The following is a 12232-nucleotide window of genomic DNA, read 5'->3' on the forward strand; positions in this document are numbered from 1 at the left end:
CTCTGGAAACACCCTCACAGACACATCCGAATTAATATTTTATCAGGTTTCTAGGTATTCCTTAATTCTGCCAAGTTGACACCTAAAATTAAGTTCACAAGTCCACCACTTGTCAGCCTAGTGTTCATATACATCTCCTCAAACTATATGTTATTTCCAAATAAAAGCAGTAACAAGGTGATGGTTCCACCTAACATGATGCAGGCCAATGTGATGAGACCATCCTGCATGCAAGTGAAATGCCAACCCCTTTTCCAGAATTCAGCTTTCAGGATTTCAACATTCAGAATTTTAATCTTTCAGGATTGTAATTTTGGGGATTTTGGACCTTAGCAATTTAGATCCTCATCAAACTAGTTGATTTTGAATCCCTACTTTTCAACATCAGTGTTATTCATTATTCTCCAGAGGAAATTATCAAAAATCTTTTAAAAACTAGAATATAAGTCCTATGCTTTATCAAAATTATGAATAATTAAAATGCAGAGTCAATACATTCATTTTTTGTATTTTTCAAACTAAGTGAATTAATATTAACATTTCATGAAACAGATACACATATAGCTCAACTCCAAACTGTCCATGAATTTATCTAATAAACAGAGAAAATGCTGCTTATAAGCAAGTCACAATTCTGATCTTACAGTTAGCTGAGCTATTAAGAAATTGTTGGAATAAGAACTGGGATAATAAAATGTTTTTGTTCAAATAAATTACCATGAATATACAATTGTATGATTAATTGCAAAAAAGGATTGTCAAAGGGAAATCCGATTAAAATAATTCAACTGATCTAAGTTGCATTCCATTAACATCATTTCCCTGATTAAACTCTTCAATATTTCCCAATGAGCTGCAGGCATACATATGTAATATTACATATAATCACCTTTTTGCTTAAATAAAATTATATTCTGTAATAATCTATGTCTCACTATGATTATGTCATCTTCTAACTATATAACTTTCCACAGCAATGCCAGGACACAAATATCTACCTGTTTTACTAGCCGCATAATATTCCATTGTAAGAGTATTCCATAATATATTTAACCAATCCCTTGTCAATGAATAGTTTTAATATATCTCGGGATTTTTTTGCTATAACAACATTTCTGAGTGAACATACTTGAGTAGACCTCTTTGTACATTTTTATGACTCTATCTGAAAGACACATTCCTAAATGTGGCATTCCTGAGACAAGTGTTTCTTAATACATTTTTATAGATACAGATTTAAAGTTCTATAGATATAGATACATTATCCTTCGTGGTGATTATCCCGCTAGTCCCACCAAAAGTATTCAACACTACCATTAATACTACGGATGGAAAATTGTTTTTCACTGTCTGGATTTGCATCTTTAAACTGTGGGGTTGAGTATCATTTCATATGTTTAAAAGTCATTAATGTCTAATTTTTCTTTGATTGAACTACTACATCAATGTTTTAGATTATTCATCTTTCATCTTTCCTTTTTTGCCAAAACTCTATTATATTAAAGACATTGGATAATTTTCTATCGTGCAATTTACAAATATTGTTTCTCAATTGTTATTTTGACTTTTTTGCTCTATGCAAAAATTTTAAAGGAATATGCAACAGTTACATATATTTTCCTTTCTGGCTTCTGAATTTTGGGTCTTATTATATTAAGGCCAAATCCCATTATTTGGGTTTTGTCAAATAAAATACTGGAAAACAATTGACTTTCCAAAGCAGAAAAAATTATTTTTTTAAATGTTATTTGTGTTATGAAGTTGCTTACCAAATTATTTTCTACATGGATTTCAAGGGCAAACCACTGCCCATTTCTTTGTAATTAATAGCATCCAAACTAATCAATATTCCCAAATTTTAATTTCTCAGCAATGCTTATTTTCTGACAGCTCACAGCAATTTTTTCAAAAAGAGGTGGAACTTGGGCTAGTTTCTGCTTCAGATGCTGTTTCTCCAGAAATGTGTCATATCTCTTTGATGAATTCTTAACTTTCTTTTCTAAATCCCCAATATACATTTTCCATTATGAAAGATCACTCAATTGTCATCAGACTTCAATGATATTATCTCAAAAATGATGATTATGTGTTTACTTACACACAACAGGATAGGGAAACAAGAAGTGCATTCAGGTTTAATAATTGCTTCTTCATCAACCCATGTCTGCCACCAGGCAGAGACCTTGTTTTAATCATCATTGAACGTCCAGAACACCTAATTAAGAGAAGCTGCTCAATAGATATGTGAGCACAAAGTGAAAGAATGAATGACTGAACAAACTGGGATTTCATCTTTCTGAGCCTTAGTTCCTTCTACAAAACAAAAAGTTTGGCAGAAAGAATAGTAAGATAATAGATTTGATAGTGGTTTGAAAAACAAAACATTCAGAAAAGTGGTATTTTCTCCCATAATTTTGTCTTCTTATTGATGTATTAATTTGTATGTCTATTCCAGAAATCTCTTTATGCTTTGGAAAGTCTTATGCATAATTTTGGCTTTTTCAGTTCAATATGCATTTAATAAGCAAATATTCTTGTGTAAGATATGGAATATTGGAAATGCTGATTATGTAATACTGATTACAAGTATGAAATAAAATAGAGGCAAGAGGAAAATAATTCTCATCTAGGGAGAGTATACTGGCTATTAAGTATTATTATATTATCTTTATTTTCACCATCCTCAGTGTTATTGTGAAAAAGGCTTAGAGCTTCCATGAGGAAAGGCACTGTTAACTATAAAAGTCACACATTCAATATTATACATTCTATGCTTTCTTCTATAATTGTGTCCTCTCACTAATTTACTAATTTTTATGTCTATTCCAGGAATCCCTTGATGTTTTAGAAAGTGTTGTTTGTAATTTTGGTTTATTTAATTCAATTTATCAGTATTATGCTAAGTTTCATGGATTGATGAGATATATAGGTAGATAGGTAGGTAGATAGATACTCATATCTGGATAAGGACATATTTAAAACATTACTGGACTTCAAGTTCATTGCCAGCCTGAAAGGTCCTTTTGAATCCTCCATTTGAAGGTCTTGCTTTTTACATGGGGAATTGAGGCAGGTAGACACAGTAATCATGCAGGGGAAGGGAGATTTGGGAGAAAATAATGTGGTTTAAAAGGAGAAACAACATTATGTATTTTAAACCAATGTTTATATTATGTTTGTTAATTTTATTCTATTTCCTTGCAGGTTTAAATGTTTATTTGCTACTTGGCTACTGATTAGAGAACGCAAAATGAATAACTCAACAAACTCCTCTAACAATAGCCTGGCTCTTACAAGTCCTTATAAGACATTTGAAGTGGTGTTTATTGTCCTGGTGGCTGGATCCCTCAGTTTGGTGACCATTATCGGGAACATCCTAGTCATGGTTTCCATTAAAGTCAACCGCCACCTCCAGACCGTCAACAATTACTTTTTATTCAGCTTGGCCTGTGCTGACCTTATCATAGGTGTTTTCTCCATGAACTTGTACACCCTCTACACTGTGATTGGTTACTGGCCTTTGGGACCTGTGGTGTGTGACCTTTGGCTAGCCCTGGACTATGTGGTCAGCAATGCCTCAGTTATGAATCTGCTCATCATCAGCTTTGACAGGTACTTCTGTGTCACAAAACCTCTGACCTACCCAGTCAAGCGGACCACAAAAATGGCAGGTATGATGATTGCAGCTGCCTGGGTCCTCTCTTTCATCCTCTGGGCTCCAGCCATTCTCTTCTGGCAGTTCATTGTAGGGGTGAGAACTGTGGAGGATGGGGAGTGCTACATTCAGTTTTTTTCCAATGCTGCTGTCACCTTTGGTACGGCTATTGCAGCCTTCTATTTGCCAGTGATCATCATGACTGTGCTATATTGGCACATATCCCGAGCCAGCAAGAGCAGGATAAAGAAGGACAAGAAGGAGCCTGTTGCCAACCAAGACCCCGTTTCTCCAAGTCTGGTACAAGGAAGGATAGTGAAGCCAAACAATAACAACATGCCCAGCAGTGACGATGGCCTGGAGCACAACAAAATCCAGAATGGCAAAGCCCCCAGGGATCCTGTGACTGAAAACTGTGTTCAGGGAGAGGAGAAGGAGAGCTCCAATGACTCCACCTCAGTCAGTGCTGTTGCCTCTAATATGAGAGATGATGAAATAACCCAGGATGAAAACACAGTTTCCACTTCCCTGGGCCATTCCAAAGATGAGAACTCTAAGCAAACATGCATCAGAATTGGCACCAAGACCCCAAAAAGTGACTCATGTACCCCAACTAATACCACCGTGGAGGTAGTGGGGTCTTCAGGTCAGAATGGAGATGAAAAGCAGAATATTGTAGCCCGCAAGATTGTGAAGATGACTAAGCAGCCTGCAAAAAAGAAGCCTCCTCCTTCCCGGGAAAAGAAAGTCACCAGGACAATCTTGGCTATTCTGTTGGCTTTCATCATCACTTGGGCCCCATACAATGTCATGGTGCTCATTAACACCTTTTGTGCACCTTGCATCCCCAACACTGTGTGGACAATTGGTTACTGGCTTTGTTACATCAACAGCACTATCAACCCTGCCTGCTATGCACTTTGCAATGCCACCTTCAAGAAGACCTTTAAACACCTTCTCATGTGTCATTATAAGAACATAGGCGCTACAAGGTAAAATATCTTTGAAAAAGATAGAAGGTGGGCAAGGGGAGCTTGAGAAGAATAAAAGGGATAAACGAGCTCCTAGTTTTAAAATCTCTGCCATTGCACTTTATAGTCTGATTACAAAACGTGCAATTCAGGAGCCCAGCAGTGACACACTTATCACGCCTAGGCTCCAGTTTGCAAAAATTGCACCTTATAAACTGTCAGTATTAGGAGCAATGAGACAATGAAAGAAACATGTTGGGATCGTGGATTTAAGAAACTATACACTGTTTCTCATAATCTCTTGAAGAAGGGCTTCTGATTCTACAATTTTATCAGTCTCTGCACAAGAGGAATAACCTTGTTCCTTTTTTGTTACTTTTGTTGTTGTTGTTCTCATGTGTCCTTAAGAGAAGGAAATGCCACAGTTACAAGGTAAACATGGAGACTTAAACATAAAGAAATAGGCACTATACAATGGGGACATAAAAAAAGAAAATCAAAGAAGGATGCAGAAATTGTCTCCGGAGTGTTAAGCATATTTTATTCTTTTGTTACGGTCCTATTTAGAGGATTGGAATGTAATAAATGCTTATTTTTTGCCTTTCTTTTTCCCACCATGAAGAGAAAGCAAACAAACAGAAACCCCAACTAGGTCACACCATTTTTCTTCTTGTTATGCCACTATTTTGTACATCCCTGTTCTATATTGTTTATAGGGAAAACCTACAGGACTTTCACTAAAGCTAGCCAGAGACAGCCATGAAAATGGACGTTTCACCCCTCCTCACTGTGTCCTTTGCATTCGTTGGGGATATCAAGGTCTATAAGGATTTAGTGCACTTATAATCCTATATGCGAAATGTTTAAACCAATCTGATTTTCTCCTAAATAGCCTTTTATATCAACAGAATATCCTACCTAAAACATAAACCTGTTTAAGAAACCATCGTCACTGTAAAGTTGAGGTTTCATCAAATTAAATAATGGACTATCTAGTTGGACCAAGTTTATTAAAGTCAGGTGAATTTTAAGATTAAAAAATAGAAGTTTAGGACTTTCTATTTCAACCTGAATTTGCCTGACCCATGTATGAAATGTTAACTTATAGAAAATGAACTCCTGACTTTCTCAGCAGAAAGGAATGCTGTTTTATTTATTTGGAATCCTAAACAGGATTAACATACTCACATAGCACCAGTGATTTCTGGGCCAGTCCCTAGAGAATAGAACCTTCTATCCAATGCCTGCTAAAGGATGATATTCAAATTATAACCAAGTGAGGATGTCTGCAATTATCCTATGACCCCATGAAAGGGGAAAAAACGATATTTTAAAAACTATTACTGAAACAATTACATATTCCATATTCCTCAAATTGTCAATTCTCCCTAACATTATTTAACTTCAAAATTCTCTTATCAATAGAATTATAGTAATCTTTGTGACAGAAATGTAGTGGCTAACTAAATAGAGGCCAAACGAGCTTACAGAATCTGACAGAAGGAGGTAGGTGGCTGTTGCCATGCCACATCTCACCATCTAATTCTAGACCATAATAATCATGTCAGGAACTATTATCTAAGTGGTGGCATTATATAGAATCTTGCCACGTAGAGATTTTTTATTTGGTCGTCTAAATAAATATAGGATTAGGATTATACGGATTCACATACAACTAGTTATTTTTATCCTTTATATTTTTCTTACAGTATTTGCTGTAGTTTTCCAATGAGATTTTCTAAAAATGGCTCAATCAATGGAAATCAAATTATAAACGCATTTGCAAATTTCATATTTTGGATTTTAGATTTATGATATCTTGTTCAGTAATAATAATGTTAGTTACATGGTAAATTTATCAATATTAGACCCCAGCACTTAAAAGAATTATTTTGTATGATTAGCCTCATAGATGCCACCTCAACATTTTGGAGAGTTAAGGAGGAAAAAAAGCATGAGGGAAAAAAAAAACCAAAAAACTTATAAGTTAGTAAGAAGCAAATTGCCAGCAGTATTTATATTTGACTTATCCTTCGTAAAAACAATTTCCTGTTTAAATAACTTCAGTCATTACCCCCCCAAAGTAATCTTCCATATTTAAAGCATTCATTTATAGAGATTCCCTTACCTACAGTTACTTCAACATGCACTTTTACATTTTAAATTCATATTTATTTTCATATTGTTTCTTCAAATGAAGGAATCAGTTGAACGGAAATAACGTCAAGCCAGTGGGCTCCTCGAGTTTCTGAAAACCAGAGAATTGACTAGCCAAGTATTTCCCTTTTTAATGTATTGTATTATTATTATGTAGATTTGGCTTCAGTTGGGAAGAACCCTTTGGCATCCAGGATTCAGGATTCAGGGTCTTTTTTTGTTTGCTCTAATAATCCAACGCACCATGAATCAAGCTTTTAGTCTCTGCTGCCATTGTATCCTTCCTTTTCCTCCCTCTGTTATTGATCCTTGCCACAGCCACTGCAACCTCATTGAAAGAGAAACTGTCACTTTAAAGAAAGAAATTGAAGATAGGCTGACACCATGGAAACTACGTCAAACAGATAAGAAAAATGGAAGGAATACTGAAAATGATAGATGATTGGAGAGATATGGAGATTATATTCAAGGATTTTTATTAACCACTGCTGGATTTGTCTATTTCAGTGGCTCTCAAACAGAGACAATTCCCCTCTCCCCGAAAGGGGACACTTAGCAATGTGTAAAGACATTTTTGGTTGCCACACTGGGAGGAATGCTATTGGTATCTAGTGCATAGAGGCTGGGAATGCTGCTAAATAGCCTATAATGCTCAGGACATTTTCCCCCAACCCCTTTAAACAAATATTATTTGGCTCAAAATGTCAATAGTTCCAAGATTGAGAAATTCTTGTCTACTTTAAGGGATTTCTAAAGCTTGCCTCTTATTAGTGGGAAAATAACCCTGCATTATTTTTAGAATATCAATGCAAATTCCTCACCTGTTAGAAAAAGGTAATACTCACCAACCATGTATCAGAAAAACTTTTCTCCTGAGTCTGGTGTATGTGTCAGTCACAGATTGGGAACTCAGGCCACATCTACATATCAAAAATCACCAGACTATGCATATCGCACATCTTTTTTCCAGCATCTTAATGTTCAATTATGATTGCCACAGATCTAGTCAATTGAGGTTGCAGTAGTTGGCCATCAAAATATTTGCAGTTGATATGATCAGTTTCTACTGGAGCTGCAATTTTTCCTTTCAAAAAATATTAAGAGCCTCTTTCAGAAACAATATCATTTATCTTCTTTGCATTTACTGGAAAGGTGTATCTGTAAGGTCTTTGTTTTTTCTCTCCTCATAGCAATAATGTAGCTATCCCAGAGTGATATTATAAGAAGAGGAGATTAAGAATATGGAAAAAGTCTGTTCATTTCTTCGAAACAAGAAATGATTTTCCTTTTACCAGTTCATCATTAATTTAACGCCAGCTCCCAAGTATTAGGGCAGAGTAATCAATATGAGAAGCCACAACGGGTAAGCTTTCTGATTTGAAATGTACAAGCTGGATGTCCAACATACTCCTGCTCTTTGTTCATTTGCTTTTTTGATCCTGAAGATCTGACATTGGGAGAGATGGGAATTCAAAATGATGGCAACAATTACTCAGCAATGCAGTCTGTTTTTATTTTCTCCTACTTAGTTCATTGACAGTTTCCTCCTCGCCCCAGTTTGATAATATCCCTTTCAACAACCATAGTACCGGTGTTGCAAATAGTTTAGGAAAGCACCCAAAGCTGGATGAAATTGTGCAAAGTGTATTCTCAGCATGTATATTCAATACCATGCCTCTTAAAAATGCTTCTCTTAAAGGGTGCACGCTGTAGCATGAAATGTGTGCATATTTAATGTATCTTCCTGGAATATGCTATGTGCTAAATATATATATATTCTATAAATAAAATAATAAAATGTACAATAGAAATACATATTTCTGTATGCAAATAAATATATTATACACAAACTCTTAATACGCAATATGGTATATGTTGCTTCTGAATAACAAAGTTGATTTTATATGCCCAATTTTCAAAGAAAATAGCATTTGCATTAGAAGGAAGAGATTTAAGAACAGCCAAAATCCCATATTAAGATTAAACTGTTTTATGATCTTTAAGAACAGGGCAGATTTCAAATATCTCTCACAGGAATAAATTAATAATTTTTTCTGGTATCACTCCATGTGACAACAATGCTTTATTCGCCTGTGCCCCTGACATGCCTCTTCTGACTAGAATCTTCCCAGCTGGTACTGTTCCAACAGCTGTGTTGATCTAGTGTCTGATTACTTGATGAGGTTGCAACCAACCCTTTCTCATACAGTTTCACTCTCTTCCAAATTAACTGATTTTAGTGGAATAAAAAATAATCATACTGGGAGAAAAGGATGACCTTCAGAGTGCTTTTCATTCTGACAACCAAGGTAAACTTTGTATAAGCACCATATTTTAATAAACTACTCTTTTCAATTTCGGTCCAATACAACATCCCATACATTAACTTCCAGAAATGTTTAATGAGGTATAGCATAATATTAGAAGTTTCCCCATGAAATTTTAAGTGGGTAGTTTTTTTTTCTAAGTGGCCTATATTTTCTCAATAGCAGTCCTCTTCCTTTCCTTGTTTGCCTCTCGACTACGCACATTTCCGAGAACATTTGCATTGATCCATTAACACAAATCTGTAGTTAGCTAATACACTTATAATATTAGTTGCCACTGGACGTGCAATTCCAGGAGATGTTTACATTTTAATATAAAAAGTGTAAATACTGAACATTTAAAGGATTACTATTACAGCTTTTAGAGACCAAGTCATGCAGTTGTAGTCATTTTTTAATTAATTTGAGTTCTCTCCAAATTTTAAGGCATAATTCTATGTCTATTTACTTTCTAAATTTTACCTATGACAATTCACACTGTGAATTGATGTCTTCGTCTATACCAAAGTCATTTCTAGAAAAAGAAAAATATTTGAGTTTTCTATCAATTCCTATTAGTTTTATATTGTTCCAGTGAAGTGTTCTCATTTCATTTTTGAGAACTGAATTGAATTGTATATCGATGAAATGCCAAATGCTATTCCTGACTAGATGATTGCAAATAATGAAACAGCAAAAACATCTTGCCATCATTAAGGAAGAACTTTCCACCTCATAACATGTTTCCAATATTTTCTCTCTTGGGAAGCTTTTAGTGCCACGCTCTTATACCAGGGATTAAAACTAACCATAATGATAAATTTACTTGAAGTACCATTAGAATAATGTCTTAATTTGTTTTCTGTTGATATAACAGAATACTTGAGACTGGGCAAATTATAAGGAAAAGAGGTTTATTTGGCTCATAGTTCTGGAGGCTGGAAAGTTCAAAATAGGGCTGCCGCACCTGGTTAGGGCCTCATGCTGCACTCTAACATGGTGGATGCAATTACATGGTGGAAGCCTGTGCAAAAGAGGCAAAATACAAGGGACAATCTCACTTTATAATGACCTACTTTTGTGTTAACTAACCTAGACCTGCAAGAATGCACTCTCTCTAGCAAAAGGGCATTAATTCCCTCAGAAAGGGGCACCCCTGATGACACAAATATCTCTTAAAGGTCCCACCACCTCTCAACACTGTTACACTTGGGACCAAGTCTCAATATGAGTTTTGGTGGAGACAAACCATACTCAAGCCATAGCACATATCAAAGTTTAAAGACAAATACAATAGATGCTTGACTTCTGTCTGCGATATCTCCACTAAAATATATATTTTAAGCATATATTTTTCTATCATCACCTACATCATGTATTTTTCCAGAGACTGCATTTAAACACATTCTTTTTCCTTTCATATGAGTATTAAGAAAGAATCATTCTGCTATAATGTTGTTTAGAATTACCAGCAAGTAAAAAATATTTGCATTTAAGAAGTAATCCATCAACCTCTCCCTCCTTAACACACACATACACACACAAAGAAACATACACAACCATACATACTCAGGTACAGAAACACACATATGCCCATACAAATACACACACATACATGCATACAAACACACACAGGTCTCATCCTCTCGACAGTGCCCAGAGGCATAACTTTTCTACTACTTCCAAAAGCATTTGGAATATTACTAGAGGCCATTGAACTCTAGAGTTCAGCTGAGTGATGTTGAAGAAAAAATTCTATTTGCTCCTCTTTGCTCGATGGTCAGTTCCCTGCACAATTTTCTAAATCTGTTAGAATCATATGAGTGAGTTTTAGCTCTCTGTCTGCCACCAACAGCCTTCCAGTTGTCTGCAGGCCATCTCTTCATCACATACCAGTGATTACATGGGGTCATGGTGAGAAAACATGTTTATATCAGAAAAATATGTCATAACACATACAAAACATATCTACAAATTCATATCTTCACAATGGGTGTCCTCAAGCACTACGCTACTATATAAGATGGTGCTTTAAATGTCAGCATAACTATCTAGAGTGCTGAGGAGAGGAAACAGTGATACCTTCTCTGCACATTTCTTCCAAAAATCCCTCTCAGACTTTCCTTTAGCCATATAGCTCTTTGTACTTACAGAATGTATAGAAATTTAGAAATGAAGCTTACTGTTAATATGCAACAGATGATCAAATGGTCAAAATGTCTTGTGTCCTGAGTTAATAAACAGGAAAGCCATATATGCATCTTCCATCTTGCAGGAAAAGTAAGATTAATGATCTGATTATTTTTATTTTCTTGTTATATCACTTTTAAAAATTATTAATAAAGAAGTAAATCAAAGTAATTTAAACATCAAATATTAAGTGGTTGAACAATATAATTTCCTTTTTTCTCAGTCCTACTGAATAACTTAACCTGCATGGAAAATATAACCTGAACAAGTTTGTATTTAAGCAGAAAAAAAATCCATAAGGAATAAAATTTAGAATGAAACAGGAATGATAAAATATGAAGTCCCAGTGAGAAAAGAAAATAAATTATCCCTCAACTCCCTCAAATGAATAATAAAAGTTTAACAGAATTTCTTTTATTAAACCATGATTATTATTTATTATTTTGGAAAAATAAATTTTTGTAATGTTTTCTTATGTCCATTTATTATGTTTTTTTCTTATGTCTACTTACTTCATCTCTTTTTAGTTTTTTTATCTTTTAAAATGTTTTAAAGGTAATTTTTATAAGTGTTTTGAGAGGCAAACACAAAAATTGCTATTTTTCTGAGGATTGCTTTTAATTTGTGTTGTAGTTGACACTGCTACTTCAGAAAGCAAAACCAATTTTTAAAGAAATACAGTCATGCATATTTTAACAACAGGGATGCGTACTGAGAAATGTTTCTTTAGGCAATTTTGTTGTTGTGTGAGCATCCTAGGGTATACATACACAAATCTATATGGTATAGCCTACGTATTAGTCAGTGTTCTCTTACAGGGACAGAACTAGATAGATAGATGATAGATAGATAGATAGATAGATAGATAGATAGATAGATAGATAGATAGATGATAGACAGATACATACATACATATACATAAAGATATATATGGGTATTTATATATATATGTA

The 12232-nt window shown here is 34.7% G+C and overlaps 1 protein-coding gene and 1 long non-coding RNA gene across 12 annotated transcripts in view; one reads left to right on the plus strand and one right to left on the minus strand.

Annotated features, from left to right (window-relative positions):
- CHRM2 (cholinergic receptor muscarinic 2) overlaps window positions 1-8598 on the plus strand; it is a 151562-nt gene extending 142964 nt beyond the window's left edge. For all 11 annotated transcript variants that reach the window (NM_001378972.1, NM_001006630.2, NM_001006627.3 and 8 more), the window contains one exon: window positions 3205-8598. In NM_001378972.1, coding sequence (NP_001365901.1) covers window positions 3251-4651 — 1401 coding nt within the window. In that variant the 5' untranslated portion in view covers window positions 3205-3250 and the 3' untranslated portion in view covers window positions 4652-8598. The remainder of the gene's footprint in view (window positions 1-3204) is intronic.
- LOC349160 (uncharacterized) overlaps window positions 1-12232 on the minus strand; it is a 265569-nt gene that overhangs the window by 112843 nt on the left and 140494 nt on the right. The gene's annotated exons all lie outside the window — the stretch shown is intronic.

Source organism: Homo sapiens, chromosome 7 (genome assembly GCF_000001405.40).
Source record: "Homo sapiens chromosome 7, GRCh38.p14 Primary Assembly".
In the NCBI taxonomy this organism is placed as follows: domain Eukaryota; kingdom Metazoa; phylum Chordata; class Mammalia; order Primates; family Hominidae; genus Homo; species Homo sapiens.